Below are 17,190 nucleotides of genomic sequence, written 5' to 3' on the forward strand. Positions count from 1 at the left end.
CAAACAAACAAACAAACAAACAACAAAACCAATCCCATCAAAAAGTGGGCAACATTCATGAAGAGACAGTTCTCAACAGAAGATATACAAATGGCCAACAAGCATAGGAAAAAATGCTGAACATCACTAATTAACAGGGAAATGCAAATAAAATCCACAATGCAATACCACCTTACTCCTGGAAGAATGGCCATAATATAAAAAATAAAGAAATAACAGATGTTGGCATGGATGTGGTGAAAAGGAACACTTTTACACTGCTAGTGGGAATGTAAACTAGTACAACTACTATAAAAAACAGTACGGAGATTCTGTAAAGAACTTAAAGGTAGAACTATCATCTGATCTAGCAATCCCACTACTGGCTATCTACCCAGAAGAAAAGAAGTTATCTTATGAAAAAGATACTTGCACCCACATGTTTATAGCAGCATAGTTTGCAATTGCAAAAATATGAAACCAGCCTAAAACAAATCAGTGGATAAAGAAAATGTGATATATATTTGTGATCTGTATATATGTAAATACCATGGAATACTACTCAGCCATAAAAAGGAATGAAATATCAGCACTCACACAACCTGGATGGAGTTGCAGACCATTATTCTAAGTGAAGTAACTCAAGAATGAAAAACCAAACATCGTAGTATCTCACTTATAAGTGGGAGCTAAGCTACGAGGATGCAAAGACATAAGAATGATGTAATGGGCTTTTGGGACTCAGGGGGAGTGGTGGGAGGAGGGTGATGGATAAAAGACTACACATTGAGTACTGTATACATTGCTCGGGTGGTGGGTGCACCAAAATCTCAGAAATCAACACTAAAAATCTTTTCCATGCAACCAAACACCTTGTTCCCCAAAACTATTGAAATAAAATAAAAATAAAAATTATAACTAGGACTGGTGCGGTGGCTCACGTCTGTAATCCCAGCACTTTGGGAGGCCAAGGCAGGCAGATCATGAGGTCAGGAGATAGAGATCATCCTGGCTAACAGGGTGAAACCCATCTCTACTAAAAAAACAAACAAACAAAAAAATTAGCCATGTGTGGTGGCCGGTGCCTGTAGTCCCAGCTACTAGGGAGGCTGAGGCAGAAGAATGGCATGAACCCGGGAAGTGGAGCTTGCAGTGAGCCGAGATCACACCACTGCACTCCAGCCTGGGTGACAGAGTGAAATTCCATCTCAAAAAATAAAAATAAAAATAAAAAAGTTATAACTATATAAGCAAAGAGTATTGGAGGATATTTGTATAACCTTAGAGTAATGACGCCTTTTTAAAGCAAGACAAAAGGAAATGTTAACAAATTTGGCTTCAGAAAAGTCCACAACCTCTACACTGTGAAAGATCCCATAGGGTTCCTAATAAGCAAAGAGCTGTTACGTTTGATAATCCAAATAGCCCAACTGTTGAACATTAATTCACACAACAAAAATTGTAAAATGGTCAAAACATGAAAAAATGTTGTCGTAATTGTAGTAAGGAAATGCATATTAAAACATTATATATTTTCTTTGAATAAAACTAAGCATACTGTTAGTATCTCATAGTGAGAAGAGCGACAGCGTTGAATGAAGTGTGAACTGCTCCACCCTTTTGAGAAGTCATCAGAGAGTCTGTGAAGATTGAAAATGCGCGTGCCCTTTGACTCTCAGCTTCCAAAATAAAACGAACCGCACTGCACAGCACTAGCTCCAAGACGCTTCTTGAAACCCTGTTTGTGAAGCCAGCCCTGGCCCTGTTGGGTGGGGCTCCGGGTCAAGGCACCCCCAGTGCTCCCATTTACTTAGCACCTTGACTCAGGAATGGGTTGGACTCTCAGAGCTTACAATGTCTATGAAACACTATTAGAGATCATAAGAAATACATTCAGACTCACAACTACCCACATGTTCATGGAGAGATGTAGAAATAAATAAGCGGGTCGTACTCTTGTGTGTTAGTTTAGATGTTAGTTATGAAGAAGGGAGTGAAGAATGTAGTTTCTGCAAGTAAGACAAGCACATCGAGATAGATAATTTGGTATAATTTAACAACATTAAACAAAACTATTTTATCTTCTACTGCATCATCCCATGATTTCAAAATGTCTCATCATAGGTGAATTATTTTCCAAAGTCATTTGAGTTAAGAAAAGAATACAGCTATTCTTCAGAAGGACCAAGCTACTGCAGGAAGCTTGCAACTTACCCCTGTGCAGATGAGCCCAGGGCGCCAGCTCCTTGCTGTGGGGCAAAAGAAAATTCGTCACATGAAAAAAGAAGTTGTTGACATGCAGCTGATTCTTACATAAAAGTCACGTCTATTATTCCTGGGTTTTGAGGAATGGTACCTGGAGTTCTCTTGGGTCCTGAGTTCAGATCTCAGAACCACTTACGTGTGCACGTGTTTTCATTTCTCTCTGGTGAGAAACTGGGAGTGGGATTCTGGTCATATATTAGACATTTATCTTTTAAAGAAATGCCAAACTGCTTTCCAATATGGTGGCACTTTACACCCTCATTTAACTCCCACGCAGGAGACTTGCAATTTCTCTACAACTTCACCAGCCCTCGGTGGTGTCTGTCTTTTTGATGACAGGCATTCTCCTGGGTGTGTGGTAGTATCTGATTGTGGTTTTTATTTGCAGCTGCCTGATGTAGAATGATGTTGAGCATTTTTTTCCATGTGCTTATGTAGCATCCATGTATCTATACATCTACATCTACCTTGGTAAGGAGTTTGTTCAAATCTTTTGCCCATTTTTTATATGTATGTATGTATTTTTATTTATTTTTGTAGAGATGTTCAGGCTGGTCTTGAACTCCTGGCCTCAAGCAATCCTCTTGCTTGGCCTCCCAAAGCACTGAGATTATAGGTGCTTCCCATTGTGTCCAGCCCTCTTGCCCATTTGAAAAACTGGGTTTTCTGTTTGTTTATGTTTTTGTTTGTTTGTTGTTTTTTTACAATTGCACTTTGAAAGCTCTTTGTGTCTTTGTGTATTCCGGACATCAGTCTAAGACTTGAAAATATTTTGTTTGCCTGTGGCTTGCACAGGAATGAACACCTGGCTTTATTGTGCTTTGCTTTACTGCACTTCACAGAAACTGTTTTTTCACAAATTGAGGGTTTGTGGTGACCCTGGTCAAGCAAGTATGTCGGCGCCATTTTCCCCGCAGTGTGTGCTCACTTCAAGCGTCTGTGTAAGCAGCTTTTAGCAGTAAAGCACTTTTAATTCAGATACATAGTTTTTAGACATAACACTGTTGCACACATGTCATGTAAACGTAACTTTTATAAGCACTGGGAAACCAGAAATTCATGTGACTTGCTTTACTGACATGTTCACTTTATTGTGGCTTTCTAAAACCAAACCTGCAGTATCTCTCATGTGTGCCTGTATTTTTATTTTCTTAATGGTGACTTTTGAAGAGCAAATATTTTCAATTTTGGTAAAGTCCAAACTATGATTTTTTTCTTTAATAGGCAGTGATTTTGGTGTCAGATCAAAGACAAGCTTTGTCTCACTAAAGATCACAGAGATTTCATTCTATGCTTGTTTCTAGAAGTGTTCTATGTTCAGCTTTTAAGTTTAGGTGTCAGATGGATTTGGGGCTAATTCTTCTGTGGGGAATGAAGTGATCCTGGGTAATCTTTGTACAGGTATGAAGAACTCAATCATTCTTTTTTCTTTTCCATGTGGATATCCAATTGTTCTAGTACCACTTGCTGAACTATAATTTCTCCCTATTTAATGATTTTAGTACCATTATTTAAAGTCAATTGACCATAAATGAAAGCTTTAACTTTGGACCTTTCTTCTGGTCCATTTCTCTATATCTGTCTCTGTCGGCGCCACACTGTTTTTATTACTGTAGCTTTATGTCTCTCTCTATGTCAGCGCCACCTGTCTTTAGTGTTACAGCTTTATAGTAACATTTAAAGTCTGGTTGTGTAAGTTCTCCAATTTTATTTTTTCTCAAAATCATTTGGCTAGTACAGTAGCCTAGGTCTTTTGAATTTGCATATACATTTTAGGACCACCTTGTAATTTCTGCTAAAACAGAAGCCTGCTGGGGTTCAGCAGGGATTGTGGTAAATCTGTAGATAAGTTTTGGGGAAAATTGCCCTTTTAATAGTATTTTTTTCCAATCTATGAATGCTGTACACCTTTTCACTTAATAGAGCGTCTCTGACTTCTCTCAGTCATGGTGTGTAGCTTTCAGTGTACATATTTGCCCAAGGTTTGTTAAATTTATTCTTTTTTCATTAGATTATGAAAGGAAGTTTTAAAAATATAACCCGGAGTTTTCATTGCTGGTGGATCGAGATGTGCGAGTGTGTATTTTAATATGTGCCCCACATCCTTGTTAAGTGATTTAATTATCTTAACTAGGTCTTAAAACATACTTTTTAGGTTTCATCGTCTGCAAATAAACGCAGTTTTACTTTGTATTCTGTGTGCCTTAATTTTCCCTGCTGCGCTGGGCTGGCCGGAATGTGACTGCAATGTCAGAAGTAGGAGGAAGTGGTGTCATCACCTGTGCCGAACCTCCAAGAGAGGGTCACCAGCCTTTCACCAGTAAATGTCATGTCAGGTACACAGGGTGCTTTCCTATCATTCCTAGGCCACTGAGATTTGTTAAAAATCATGAATGGGAACTTGCTGTTAACAAACCCTTTTCTGCATTGATTGGCATGATTGCGTGGTTACCGTTCTCTATTGGACTAAGGTGCTGAGCTGTAGTAATTGATTCCTAGGCCTTAAGGCACTGCTCACCCCTGGAGTGATATCACTTGGCCACAGTGCACAGTCCTGCCCCATGCTGCTCGATTTGGTTTCCCAAGGTCTTATCAGTGATCTTTGCCTGTGTTTCCTGAATGTATTGGCTTACGAATATCTGGCTTTGGTGTCAGGTTGATAGTGGCATTGCTGAATGAGTTGGGAAGTGTTGCTTCCTTCTCTGTTTTCTGAAAGAGTCTGTGTGTAGGTTGTATTGTATTTTTTCTTTAAATCTTTGCTGGAATTCATGCATGAAGACTACAGGGCCTGGGATTTTTCTTCACTGGGAGATTTTAAATTAGTAGTTTAGTCTCTTGGCTGTTCTATGTCTATTTAGACTTTCTATGTCTTCTTGAGTTAGTTATAATAATTCATGTCACTTAACCGGAAAGGGAACTAACTTCCTTAAGTTAAAAATCATGTTTCAGGCCAGGTACGGTGGCTCATGCTTGTAATCCCAGCACTTTCGGAGGCCAAGGCGGGCGGATCACCTGAGGCCAGAAGTTTGAGACCAGCCTGGCATGTCAAAACCACGTCTCTACTAAAAATACAAAAATTAGTGGGGCGTAGTGGCATACATCTGCGATCCCAGCTACTTGGGAGGCTGAGGTAGGCAAACTGTTTGAACCCAGGAGGTGGCGGCTACAATGAGCTGAGGTTTCACCACTTCACTCCACCCTGGGCAACAGAGCGAGACTCTGTCTCAAAAAAAAAAAAAGATGCAAAAAGCACATTTCAACTTTGGAAGATGTATAGTGCAGTATAGAAATGTCCAGGAGACTCAGTTCCTTTCCTATCTTTGCACTAGGAAGTCCGTGGTGCATGACTGGTGTTTATGTTCACAAAGACACATAGACACACCCATGCACAGAGCCTCACACACAGACACACACACAGCAGAGTCCATGGGCTGCATCGGCCCTGAAGTAAAGGAGCATGGCTGAGAGGTCCCAACCACCGAGTGACCTTAGACATTGTCCCAGGCCTGGAGAAAAGGAGCAGAGAGACAGGTGGTACCTGGAGAAATCCTTTGTCCATTTGCACGTATGGATCTTTCCTCACTGCTTGATGTTTTGAACTCTCTTCTTTGCGGGTATTAATGAGATACTCAAAGGTGGTCATCTTCTTGGCCTCTGGAAAGGGAAAAGGAGGAACAGGACAAGTTACCAGCCCTGCGGCTTTGCACGGCGCCCACAGGACAGCTCAGCAGGGTGGCCAGTGCCACTGATCCGGCCCCTGCACAGGGAGAACTGCTCCGCCCACCATGCAGGCCCTGTGAGGTCAGGATGAGTGCAGATGCCTTGTGGGCCCAGGTCTGCAGCTAGCTGATGGTCAGCAGGAGGGGTCTGCAGCTGCGACCTGGGGAACGGTGCTGACTCAGGCCCCCCCGCCTGCCAAGGCCTCATTGAGCTGCATTGTTAGTGGTGTCAGAGATGAGCTGTCTCTCACAGACCTGGGTCCCCTATACCATGCAGCCTGAGAGGTTGCTCCAGATGCCCTGGGATTGCTGGCAGGGGTAAGAGGCCAGCTCAGGAGGGGCCGCTCTGTCTGAGGGTCCAGGTGGCCTGTGGGGTTCCCCACATCTGGACACTGGGTGGGGCGCACCTTGGGGGATGCACAGAGACCCCACAGTCGGAGGACCACGCAGTGGGGCGACCACCCCGAGGTGCTGGCTAGCGGGTCCTGGGACCACACACTCCTGAGCGTGCTGAGAGCCCCAGGCCCAGGAGGTGAACACGAGTGCTGTGAGTGCCACTCAGCACAGCCTCTGATGGCGCTGAGACAGGTCACCATCCCTGTAGCCCTGCGCAGTGCCCACAGGACAGCTCAGCAGGCCGGCCAGAGCCCTATCCACCTGGCCTGTCCTGCAGGCAGCAAAGCAGCCCAGGGAAGCAAAGCAAAACCTGATACACCCGTTTATCTAAAAGAGCCGTCTTAACAAACGTTAATAAAATGGGCTCTGCACCTATTTCAGCCACGAGCTTCCATGGAGGGGCCAAACTCTCCATGCTTCTTTCCCTAAACACCAACACCGTGAGAGCCGATGTCTTGTGACTATTTCTGGAGACTGGGGCGGCCGCCCACAGAGGCCTATTTGCAGTGAGGAGCAGATGGCGGTGGGCACCCTGGGGAGCTGCCTGTGGCCAGCCCAGCCCTCACAGGATGCGTCTCACCACAGCCCCTCCAGTCCTGTGAGGTAGAGAAGAAGCTCCTGGACATCCCGGAGTCACTGCCCAGGGAGGCTCTGGGTCACGGGGGTGGGGACAGGCCTGGGCGTCCTGCTTCCAGGCATCCTGCCTCCTGCCCACAGCAGCCGCCTGCCTGTCCTTTCATGTTTCTGCCACACTTGGTCTGGGCTTTGCGTTCAAGAAGCCCGTTCCAAGTGCAGTGCCTGGCTCAGAGGACAGACCAGGTCATCCCTCCCAGCCCCGCATGGCTTCAGGCCCACTGCACTTCCCTGCTCTGCCACCTGAGGCAAGGGCCAGCTTCTCTGCAGCACAAGGGCCAGCCACACTTGTTTGTGTCTCATTCTTCATCCTCTCCCCGCAGCGTGCAGGTGACCATGCCTCACCCAAAGGAGCCTGCAGCCCCCCACGTGCTCAGCACACAGTGGGCATTGACTATTTTAACCCAGGGAAACATTTTGTACACAAAGTTGGAAAAAAATGACAAGTGCAGACTTTGTATTACTGGGCAGTTTGAGCATCCCTTAATCTGCGGCACATGTGGATGAGACCATGTGGCCTCGGCCCAACCTCGGCCGATTCTCCTGTTGTGGGGGGACTCACCCTGACTCTAAGCATCTGAGGGTGAGAGATTTCCTGATAAGGAGAGATGATGAATTCTGGGTGGAGTGAAACTCCAGAAAAGCCTTCATAGGTGGTAAACCCAAAAATATTTAAATATAAGAGAGATTGCTAGATAATTCTAGAAAGTACTTTTAAAAATATTCCTGATTCTAAGAAGGGTGGAGAGTTTTGAAGGAGGCCCAAATGACTTCTCACTCTTAAGGGTTTCAGCTTCAGGAACAGGCAGCCTGTAACATTCTACAAGGCAGACGCGTGTCTCCATGAAGTTACACCTGAGGCTTTAGTTCCATTCCATTCAGTAAACATATCCTAAGCACCTATTCTATACAGGCACTGGCCTTGACATCCAAAATTAAAACTCTGAAAACAGCACATTCAGCTCTGTGTCCGTAGGATTTAATCCAGTGATTTTCATTGCACTTTCATTAAAAAAAATTCAACCCTCAGGCAAGACAACAGTGACTGTAAGATGTGCGTTAGAGGTGTGTGTTTTAAAACATCCCCAGGGTTGTGTGGGGACAGTGGTTTGTAGGGTAACCTGTGGTTATGAACAAGGAGGCTCTTGGTGGGGTGTGTTCATTCTGAGCTGGGCGTTCTTGCCACAACTGCAGGCAGGGGATGCTCTGGAGATGGAGGTGAGCCCAGAGCCTGACCCACCCGATCCCCTCTGCCCTGACTAGGCGTTGGCCAAGCTGTCAGGAGCAGGGCATTCTTGGGGGCTGGCCTGGACACACTCTGCTGCCCGTGTCCACAGAAACCCCCTGAGAGGCCACAGCCTCGGGGCCACCACTGCCCAGAGAATGGAAGACGCTTTGCAGCTGGCCCACCATGACCAAAACGGCTGGTGCCAGGAGCAGGGAGGTTGTTGTTACTTCCAACACAGGTTTCCTTGGGGCTGGGGAGTTTACCCTCCGTCGTTCAGCAACATGACTGACCGCCTACCGCTGTGCCCACTGTGAGACCAAGCAAGACCACCAGCTCTCGCTTCAGTTGTTTGGTTAGTGGGTGATCTGCCTGTAATATTTTTCATTGTTAGAATTTCTACTTGTGCTTTTGGAAGTCCACCTGTCCTTATTTCATAATGTCCTGTTCTTGCCTAATAGATTCCATTCCATTTTCTCTGAACATTTTAAACTTGTTACTTCAAGCACCCGGCAGCGCTCCTGCAGGTCTCAGCGTTGAGTTCAGCTTCTTGCTGGGCCTGCTGGGCCCTCATGGATTTAATTTCTTCCTGTGATTTGCCCTTTTTGTCCATGATCTCACTTCTGGGAGAGGCTGACCCTGAACACATGCGCACACGGGGGACAAAGACTCTGGCCCCAGGTGTGGGGGGCTCAGGGTTAGGGACATACTCAAGTAGAGGTGTAAGATGAGCAGCTCTGACCAACCAGGCTTGGGGGGATCGGGGGCTTAGGGTGGGGGACATACTCAGGTAGATGTGGAAGATGAGCAGCTGGCCCAGCTGCACCAAGCCAAGAAGGTCCAGCAGGAGCACGAGCATCCTGATGATCACGACTATCAGAGTCTGCACCTGCACCGGGAACAGGGGGAGGAACAGCAGCCACGTGTTCATATTCTTGACATCTGGGGAGACAAGGGAGAGACACTGTGTCCAGCACCTGCTGACGGGTGCCACATCAGGTGGATGTCACAGACCAGAGCTTGCTGGGGATGGGGCGGCGTGGAGACAGCCAGCACGAGGGATGCCTCCCTGCCCTGGTGGACACCTTCCTTACCTGAGTGCCCCATGGGCCCTGCTGACTGAGGTTGGTTTTCATGATCCCTGCTTTATGGATCTGGGAGGTGACGCTCCAACAGGGTCACTAAGTGCCAGGGCTCCAGCATCCACCCCTTCCTAAGTTCTGGGGTCACAGGGCCCACCTCTTCCTCACTAAGTGCCGGGGTCACAGTGCCCACCCCTTCCTAAGTGCTGGGGTCACAGCGCCCACCCCTTCCTCACTAAGTGCCGGGGTCACAGTGCCTACCCCTTCCTAAGTGCTGGGGTCACAGCACCCACCCCTTCCTCACTAAGTGCTGGGGTCACAGTGCCCACCCCTTCCTCACTAAGTGCCAGGGTCACAGTGCCCACCCCTTCCTCATTAAGTACCGAGGTCACAGCACCCACCCCTTCCTCACTAAGTACCAGGGTCACAGCGCCTGCTGGCTCTGCCGAGTCCCAGCATCCATCCCTTCCTCATGGCCCACGCTGTGTCCCTGGACCCTCTGCACCCTAAAACAGCCGCCTTCAAATAGAACAGGAAAGCCACAGCTCTCACCTGGGGTCATTTCTAAGATATGGTCCTCTGTGACACTGGGCTGCCAACACTCAAAACCACAACACTTCCAAAAATCAGGCGTAATGCAGAATGGCAGAGGGCCAGGCAAGGCAGAATGGCAGAGGGTCGGGCAAGGCAGAATGGCAGAGGGTTGGATTCAGTGTGGATGTCTTTGGGTGACGGACCCTCTCTGGAACTGGCGGCCTTGGGGGCCTTCCTAGATGGCCCGACGGGACAGTAGCTCAAAGTGCCTGGGCCGGGCTGGACCCCATGCTGCCCCCCTTAGCCAGTGACATCACGATGAGTTCAGCCCATGAGAACAAGGAGCTGCTTTGCTCAGGGCCTTGCTGGTTTTGAAGCCCTGCAGAATCATCTGGAACAGCAAACGGAGGAATTCGCTCAGGCCACAATCAATGAACTCACACAAAGACACTGGCACTGCCGTGTGGAAGCAGCATGTTCCAGGAGAGAAGGCAGCACATGCCATCTTGGCCACCTCTGCTCTCTCACTCTCCCCTGGCATCCCCCACAGGGAGAGCCCAGACAACATGGAGGCTGCTGGGGAAGGTGACTTGCTACAGGGGGAGAAGAACGCAACAGGCATCGTCCTGGGCTTGGGTCCGCTGAGGTCAGGGCCTCGCCAGGGTGGAGCTGGCTTTCAGGAAGTGCTTCAGAAGCGGCTGTGAGGCCCTGGAGGCATCAGTCACGCTTCGAAGTGGAAGGAGGAGCTTTAGGGACTTCCACGTGGAGCTGGCAAAGCTCATCCTTGAAAAAAATGTCACACCGTGTTGGCTCCGGAATGTTCTGGAACAAGGGCAGGCAAGTCCTCCCTGTCTCACCACCCGGGCTGTGTGCAGTGCGGGTGCAGCCATGCCTGGAGCTGAGACTGGCAGTCTTGTCCTGCACCCCGAGGGGCTTCTCTGGCCCAGGTCCTCCTGGTCAGGGTCCTGGCGCTGCTGCAATAAATACATCAAATGGTGGCGGGTGGGGGCAGCTTCTCCAGCAGACTCTTGCAGTCTGAGGCAGGCAGGGCTCTGACGTCCAGCTGCAGGACAGTTGAGCGCGCTGCCTCCGCAGGGTCCAGGGAGGTCCTCCCACCTCTGCGAGCTCCTGTGGCTCCGGGCGACCCCGGGCTGTGGCTGTGTGACTCCACCCCTGCCTCCATCCTCACGAGGCCCCCTCCCCTCTGCGTCTCTCCTTTCTCTTACAAGCACACTCGTGGCTAGATTTGGGCTCCCTGGGACATCCCAGCATGACCCTCCCACCTCAGATATTAAGTCACAGCCGCAGGCCCATTTCCCGAGGATGCTGGCATCACGGGATCTGGGTTAGGCGTGGACTCGCCTCTGGAGCCCACAGTCCTCACCGCCACGTCTCTCCAGTGGCTCAGTGTGAGCATTGGTTCCCGAGGCCCAGGCTCCGGGCCCACTTGGCCAAGGGCCTCAGCACACCGCAGCCTACAGCCCAGCACCCTCAGCGCTGCCTCCACTCTCCCTCCCCATGGGCTGCTCCTGCAGGATGGGCACCCCCACCCTCCCACAGCTACATGGCCCCACAGGATGGTGTGACAGGTGCTACAGGGCTGACTGCGGAGGGCAGGGGCAGAGGTGGACCCCACTGTCTCTCGCCTGACACGACCTGGCAGCATCTACAGAGCAGCGTGGCCAGCGCCCTCCCCGAGCCTGCCTCCCGCGCGCTGGGGGCTGCTGGGCTGTATGAACACTGGGCTGCTGCCGTCGGGCCAGGTCAGAGCCTGCATGGGGCTGCCTGCCCCGGCCTCTCCCTGGGACAAGAGGGGCCGACCACCCCAGACCCGATACTACCGCCCGGAAAGACGGCTGGAGGCGAGGATGAGGCCCCTTGAGAGCGGCGGCCACGTACCTTCATACCTGGGGTCCGTGCGGAGCACCCTGGGGTTCACGAGGTACTGGACGAGGACATACAGCAGGATGGCGATCAGGCAGAGCATGCCAGCTGTGGCCGAGGCCACAGTGCTGAAGAAGAACCTGCCGGGAGACACACAGGCAGGCATGGGGGTGGGGACGTGGGAGCAGTGGGGGCGCAGGGGCAGGTGTGGGGGGCACGGGGGCAGGGGGTGTGCACAGGGTGGGCAGGGGCGGGCGTGGGGGGCACAGCGGCAGGGGGCACGCAAGGGCAGGTGTGGGACAGGTGTGGGGGCGGGGAGGCAGGGGCAGGGACACGCAGGGCATCTGAGGCAGGGGCGGGGGCATGCAGGGCAGGTGGGGGGTGCAGAGGCAGGGGCAGGGACACGCAGGGCATCTGGGGCAGGGGTGGGGGCATGCAGGGCAGGTGGGGGGTGCAGAGGCAGGGATGGGGACGCGCAGGGCATCTGGAGCCCGCAGGGTGGAGGTGACAGGTCAGCGTGGGCGTCCACTTGAGAGAGGGCTCCTGGCCACTGCCCGATGCTGGCCTCAAACCCTGCTCCCGACCATGCCTGGAAGCTCAGGCTCCTGTCTCTGTGCCATCCTGTGACGCCCCCCCAGGTCTCCAGGCCTCTCGCTGGAGAGGGGTGGCCGTGGGACATTCCCACCAGCACACCGCCTGACAATTCAGGCAGTGCTTCTTGCAAACGTGATTGCCTTTAATCCCCACAAGGAACAATGAGGTTGTGAGGAGGGGGAACCAGCCCTTTTCACGAGTGGGGAAAGTGAGGTCAGAGATGCGGTGCGACTCGCCCAAGCCTACCAGCGGAGCATGAGGGTCACACGGCGTCTCCAGTGTCACAGCTCTGGGGCCTCTGCCCGCACCTCCCGACTCCACCTGATGCAGACAGGCCTCCCTACCAGCCAAGGAGCACGCAGGCTGGGTCCCCTCAGGGGGCCCTGAGCATGGTCTGTGCTGGGGTCTCCATGGCACCATGCTGGGCAAAGGCACTGAAGCCAGGGAAGGGGAGAGCCATGAGAGTGCCGTGGCACCCAGGAGGGCCTGCAGGCTCAGGGACCTGGATCTCTGCACCCAAAGGGAACTCAGGCTGAGGAGGCCCTGGAGGAGCCCGGCCACACCTCGGCTGCAGTCCCCCCTTCTCCAAGGGTCTTGTGCAAATCTGAGCCAAAAGCGATGTCCATGCTGTAGACCTGAGACCAAATCCACTCCCAGTCTCTCGTCTTTGCTCAAAAGATGCAGAGAATAATCCATCCAGAAAAACCAATTCTGGGCAGCAGTTCCTGGAACACACTTTGACTAAACCATCTTCCCTTGGTCTTTCTGCCATGATGATATTTTTTTTAAAGTATCCTTTAACCTCCTTTAATCCTTTCCATTGTATTATGTTCACCTAAGCTTGTTTAAATCCCTTTTTCTATTTTCAACTGGAGGCCAGAGCATGAATGCCGCAGTCGTCCGAAGACGCAGTTAGGGCACAGCTGCCTTCCCCGCGCTCCTCCTCCCTCCAAGAGTCTTCTGGATAATCCAGGGGTGAGGGGTGGCTCCGGGCGTGAGCGGCTCCCTGACTGCTGCTCCCTCATACTGCCTTCCCTCTCACAGCTTAGGTTTCCCAAGCAGCAGCCCCTCCAGGCAGTGGACACGCCCTACCCTGCCCCCAGTCCTCCTGGGCTCGAGCCCACTTGTGGGGAGTAAAGACCCCTCATCCTCATCCTACTGTCTGGAGAGGACTCCCCTCTTCATCCAGGAAAGAAGGCGGGTCTCTAAGACCACAGAGACCAGAGACCACAGAGACCAAAGCCCACAGGATGGGGCAGACCCATTCACGCGGGGCCTCCTCTCCCCGCAGCCACCCAGGGACATTCTCCTCTTGGTTAGCACAGCCTCCTGCCCCTGCTGCCTGTGTTTAACCTGCAGAGTCCGAGGCCAGCGCTCGCAGTCTTCCCAGGACACCAGCGCCGCCTGCCTTCTTTCCGTCCCCCTTCCTCTCTTATCACTACGAAGTATGCAGCCTCCCTCACAGGGGCTCTGCCATCAGCTGGGCCTCCCCATGGGGGCTCCGCCATCAGCTCGGCCTCCCTCGCGGGGGCTCTGCCATCAGCTCCTCAACTTTCCTCATCTTGCTCTCAATGCCGTTGCTCTCTCCGCCTCTGGCGGATGAAGGGACAGAAGCGAGGTTGGCACAGATGCCGGCGTTGGCTGCTGCCTGGAGCTGAGGGCGCCCATGACCCCGGCCCTGCTCTCCTGATGCCCCTTTCCCACACACAGGCGGTGTCTACACTTGGCACCCACGTGGTCCCTCTCCAGCACCCCTCCTGAGGAAGGCAGACCCTCTCCTTGCCACCTGCCTGTGGGCCCTCACCCCCTCACCTTCCCCACCAGGACCCGCCAGATTGAGCCAGCTCGAGGCACCAGAGCAGAATGAGTCCAGAAGGAAGTGGCACCTGGGGCTAGCATGAGCCAGAGGAGCTGGCCCCACCTTGGCCATCGTGGAGCTGCTCTTCTCCAGGGGAGGAGGCGGGTGGGTCTCCCCGGCCCCTACCATCTCACGCAGCCTCTGGACTCGCTGTGCGGTCATGCAACCTCTCTGTCCCTGCCGGGCTGCTCAGCCTCTCTGGACACATGCTGTGCTCCAGACGGGATGGCAGGGAGGCAGGGCAGGGACCCCCCGGTGCGTCCTGTGACACCAGGCAACGTTGGTCCCCACTCCCACGCACACCAAGGCCTCTTTCAGGTCAGCACAGAGTAGCTGGGGAGCAGGCGTGGTTCTTTTCCCTGGTGATCTTCACAATACAGTGCTGCAGACAGCCGGGGCTCAGCACACGGGGCCTTGAGAGTCCCTGGATCCTCCACTGTGCTCAGGGGAAACACCTCTCATCTATGAGCCTCCACCGTGCTCAGGGGAAACAACCTCTCGTTCTTGAGCCTCCACCGTGCTCAGGGGAAACACGTCTCATCTATGAGTCTCCACTGTGCTCAGGGGAAACACCTCTCATCTATGAGCCTCCACCATGCTCAGGGGAAACATCTCTCGTCTATGAGCCTCCACCATGCTCAGGGGAAACACGTCTCATCTATGAGCCTCCACCGTGCTCAGGGGAAACACCTCTCGTCTATGAGCCTCCACCGTGCTCAGGGGAAACACCTCTCGCCTATGAGCCTCCACCACGCTCAGGGGAAAGACCTCTCATCTGTGAGCCTCCACCGTGATCAGGGGAAACACCTCTCATCCTTGTGCCTCCACCATGCTCAGGAGAAACACCTCTCGCCTGTGAGCCTCCACCATGCTCAGGGGAAAGACCTCTCGCCTGTGAGCCTCCACCGTGCTCAGGGAAACATCTCTCTTCCTTGCATCTCCACCGTGCTCAGGGGAAACACCTCTCGTCTATGAGCCTCCACCGTGCTCAGGGGAAACACCTCTCATCTGTGAGCCTCCACCATGCTCAGGGGAAACACCTCTCGTCCATCTGCGCTGGGTGCCCACTGCCCTTCCGTGGCCCCACCCTTGTGCTGGATGAGCCTCAGCCTGGGTGGAGAGAAGGCAGCCCAGCCCAGGACAGCGTGGTCAGGAGGCCTCAGCCAGCGTGGCCCCGCAAGTGCCCCCGGGGGGCCTCCAGGGACTTACTCTATGCGGATGAGCTTGTCCAGGGACGGCTGCACCACAGCCCCAGAGCCAGACAGGAGGCCGGGGCACGCAGGCACCAAGCGCCACCACATCAGGACAGGGACGTGGCCCCAAGAGGACCCTCCACCCTTTCAACACGAGGACCCCTGCCCACAGACCCCTCCCTTCCAAATTCCCCCAAGCCTGGCCCGTGCCGGCCATCCCCTCTGTGCCCCTCACCAATAATTCCGGCTTCCCACGCAGTTGTTGATCCATTTGCAGTGGTGGTCGAAGCCGGACACACACTTATTGCAGGAAATGCAGTGTTTGGTTTTCTTGTTCCTGGAGGGATGAATCGGGGAACGCCTGTCAGGCCCCAAGTGCGCAGGTTGGGGCAGGGCCAGAGGTCCATCACTGGAAGCCAGGTGCCTCGGAGGAACCAGCCCTGTGCGGCCTGGGGAGAGGGCGTCCAGCAGGGAATGGGAGGCTGGGGGAGGGTGTTGAGGCCTGTGGGGAGGAGGAGAAGCAGGGCAGCTGTGGGCAGAGGTAGCCACAGAGCAGGAGGAGCTGTGTCTGTGGCCGCCCTGAGCATAGACCCCCCGCCAGCCATCCTACACCAGCCTCACTCTGGGCCATGGCCCTGGAGGAGGCCGCGCCTGCCCCATGGTTCCAGGAGTTGAGGCCGGGGGCTTGGATCCCACCTGTGCCTACAGGGCCTCCCTTGCAGCTGACAACAGCCCTGTAGCCACCCCCTAGGCCATCACAGAGGCCTCCAGGGCCCCTGGAGACACTGGAACCCTTACCTCCCACTTTCCTAGGGGCTTGTCTTGAAACTCCCCAAGAAAGACAGTGCTCTCTTGCCCTGGGCCCTCAGGGGAGGGACCTCGTGCACAAAATCCACTGAGGACCAAACATGCCTGAGTGCTGCTGTGTTTCATTCCAGGGGAGCAGCGGGTCACCTGCAGGTGACAGACCCAGCCCTCCAGTCTCAGCCCTGCCTGCGGAGGAGTTGGGGCGGCCCGGCACCGCGCCCGGTTCACAGCGAGATGAGGGGCGATCCACCCGCAGCCACAGGGCCGGGCCCTGGAAGCTCCACTAGCATCAGCTGCGGCCATGGCACGGGCCCTGAGGGGCCAGCAGTGACCTGAGCACCAGGACCCTGGAGGTGACCCTGACACCTTGGGGCCTCGGCGAGGGCGGGCACTCACACGGTGACCTTGCACAGGTGGCAGAACTGATTCTGGATCACGTGTGCATGTTTTGATCTGTCGAAGAGGGGCATGGGCTGAGAATAGTTCTTCATGAGTCTGACATTGGAGTCGGCCGGGTCGATGCAGGACGCGATCAGGTGGACGACGAGGTGGAACGAGAAGATCCCCCCGGTCACCTGGCATGTCAAGGAAGAACCTGGCCCAGGGCCTGGTCAGCCTGGCATGAGGCGTCCCCGTGAGGCCCAAGGTCCCAGAAGAGGCGTGGCCACTGGTCAGCCCTGCTCACCCAGCCCTGCACACGTGAGCCCAGCTCACCCAGGCCTGGCCCTGCTCACATGGCCCTGCTTGTCCAGTCTTGCACACATGGCCCTATACACTTGGCCCTTCACACACAGCCCTGCTCACCCAGCCCCGTCCACTCGGCCCTGCACACACAGCCCTGCTCACCCAGGCCTAGAGAAGATGAGGCTACCCATCGGCCCTGCACACACAGCCCTGTGCCAGTCGGGGACCGGGAAGGCTGCCCCCATGCCCCTTTTGGTTCATCCCTGTTGGACACAGGGCAAATCCCCCACAGAATGTACCGCACCCCCAGAGGCTCAGTCAGCCCAGCCAAGCACAG

The 17,190-nt window shown here is 53.4% G+C and overlaps 1 protein-coding gene across 19 annotated transcripts in view, besides 5 other annotated features; it reads right to left on the reverse strand.

Moving 5' to 3' along the window:
• ZDHHC11B (zDHHC palmitoyltransferase 11B (putative)) overlaps positions 1-17,190 on the reverse strand; it is a 74,375-nt gene that overhangs the window by 29,046 nt on the left and 28,139 nt on the right. For 9 of the 19 annotated variants that reach the window (XM_017010111.2, XM_017010110.2, XM_017010115.3 and 6 more), the window contains 6 exons: positions 16,566-16,744; positions 15,598-15,864; positions 11,733-11,857; positions 9,004-9,159; positions 5,783-5,898; positions 2,194-2,228 (listed from right to left, as the gene is read on the reverse strand). In XM_017010111.2, the coding sequence (XP_016865600.1) occupies positions 2,194-2,228; positions 5,783-5,898; positions 9,004-9,159; positions 11,733-11,857; positions 15,598-15,864; positions 16,566-16,744 (878 nt within the window). Of the gene's footprint in view, positions 1-2,193; positions 2,229-5,782; positions 5,899-9,003; positions 9,160-9,851; positions 10,808-11,732; positions 11,858-15,597; positions 15,865-16,565; positions 16,745-17,190 lie in introns of those variants that run through there. The other 10 variants (NM_001351303.2, XM_017010117.2, NR_147095.2 and 7 more) reach the window with 9 other exon arrangements.
• Positions 12,547-12,737: a silencer, noted in NCBI's record as "fragment chr5:752062-752252 (GRCh37/hg19 assembly coordinates)". NCBI's record gives its function as "represses an EF-1alpha promoter that drives an FKBP-Casp9 reporter gene in an ReSE screen in HepG2 liver carcinoma cells {active_cell/tissue: HepG2}" and the evidence as "EXISTENCE:reporter gene assay evidence [ECO:0000049][PMID:32094911]".
• Positions 14,100-14,599: an enhancer, noted in NCBI's record as "H3K4me1 hESC enhancer chr5:753615-754114 (GRCh37/hg19 assembly coordinates)". NCBI's record gives its function as "activates a minimal SCP1, AML or CMV promoter by ChIP-STARR-seq in primed H9 embryonic stem cells {active_cell/tissue: H9 hESC(primed)}" and the evidence as "EXISTENCE:reporter gene assay evidence [ECO:0000049][PMID:30033119]".
• Positions 14,733-14,812: an enhancer, noted in NCBI's record as "active region_22299". NCBI's record gives its function as "activates an Ori minimal core promoter by ATAC-STARR-seq in GM12878 lymphoblastoid cells {active_cell/tissue: GM12878}" and the evidence as "EXISTENCE:reporter gene assay evidence [ECO:0000049][PMID:35858748]".
• Positions 14,923-15,002: an enhancer, noted in NCBI's record as "active region_22300". NCBI's record gives its function as "activates an Ori minimal core promoter by ATAC-STARR-seq in GM12878 lymphoblastoid cells {active_cell/tissue: GM12878}" and the evidence as "EXISTENCE:reporter gene assay evidence [ECO:0000049][PMID:35858748]".
• Positions 15,023-15,072: an enhancer, noted in NCBI's record as "active region_22301". NCBI's record gives its function as "activates an Ori minimal core promoter by ATAC-STARR-seq in GM12878 lymphoblastoid cells {active_cell/tissue: GM12878}" and the evidence as "EXISTENCE:reporter gene assay evidence [ECO:0000049][PMID:35858748]".

Source organism: Homo sapiens, chromosome 5 (assembly GCF_000001405.40).
Source record: "Homo sapiens chromosome 5, GRCh38.p14 Primary Assembly".
NCBI lineage: Eukaryota > Metazoa > Chordata > Mammalia > Primates > Hominidae > Homo > Homo sapiens.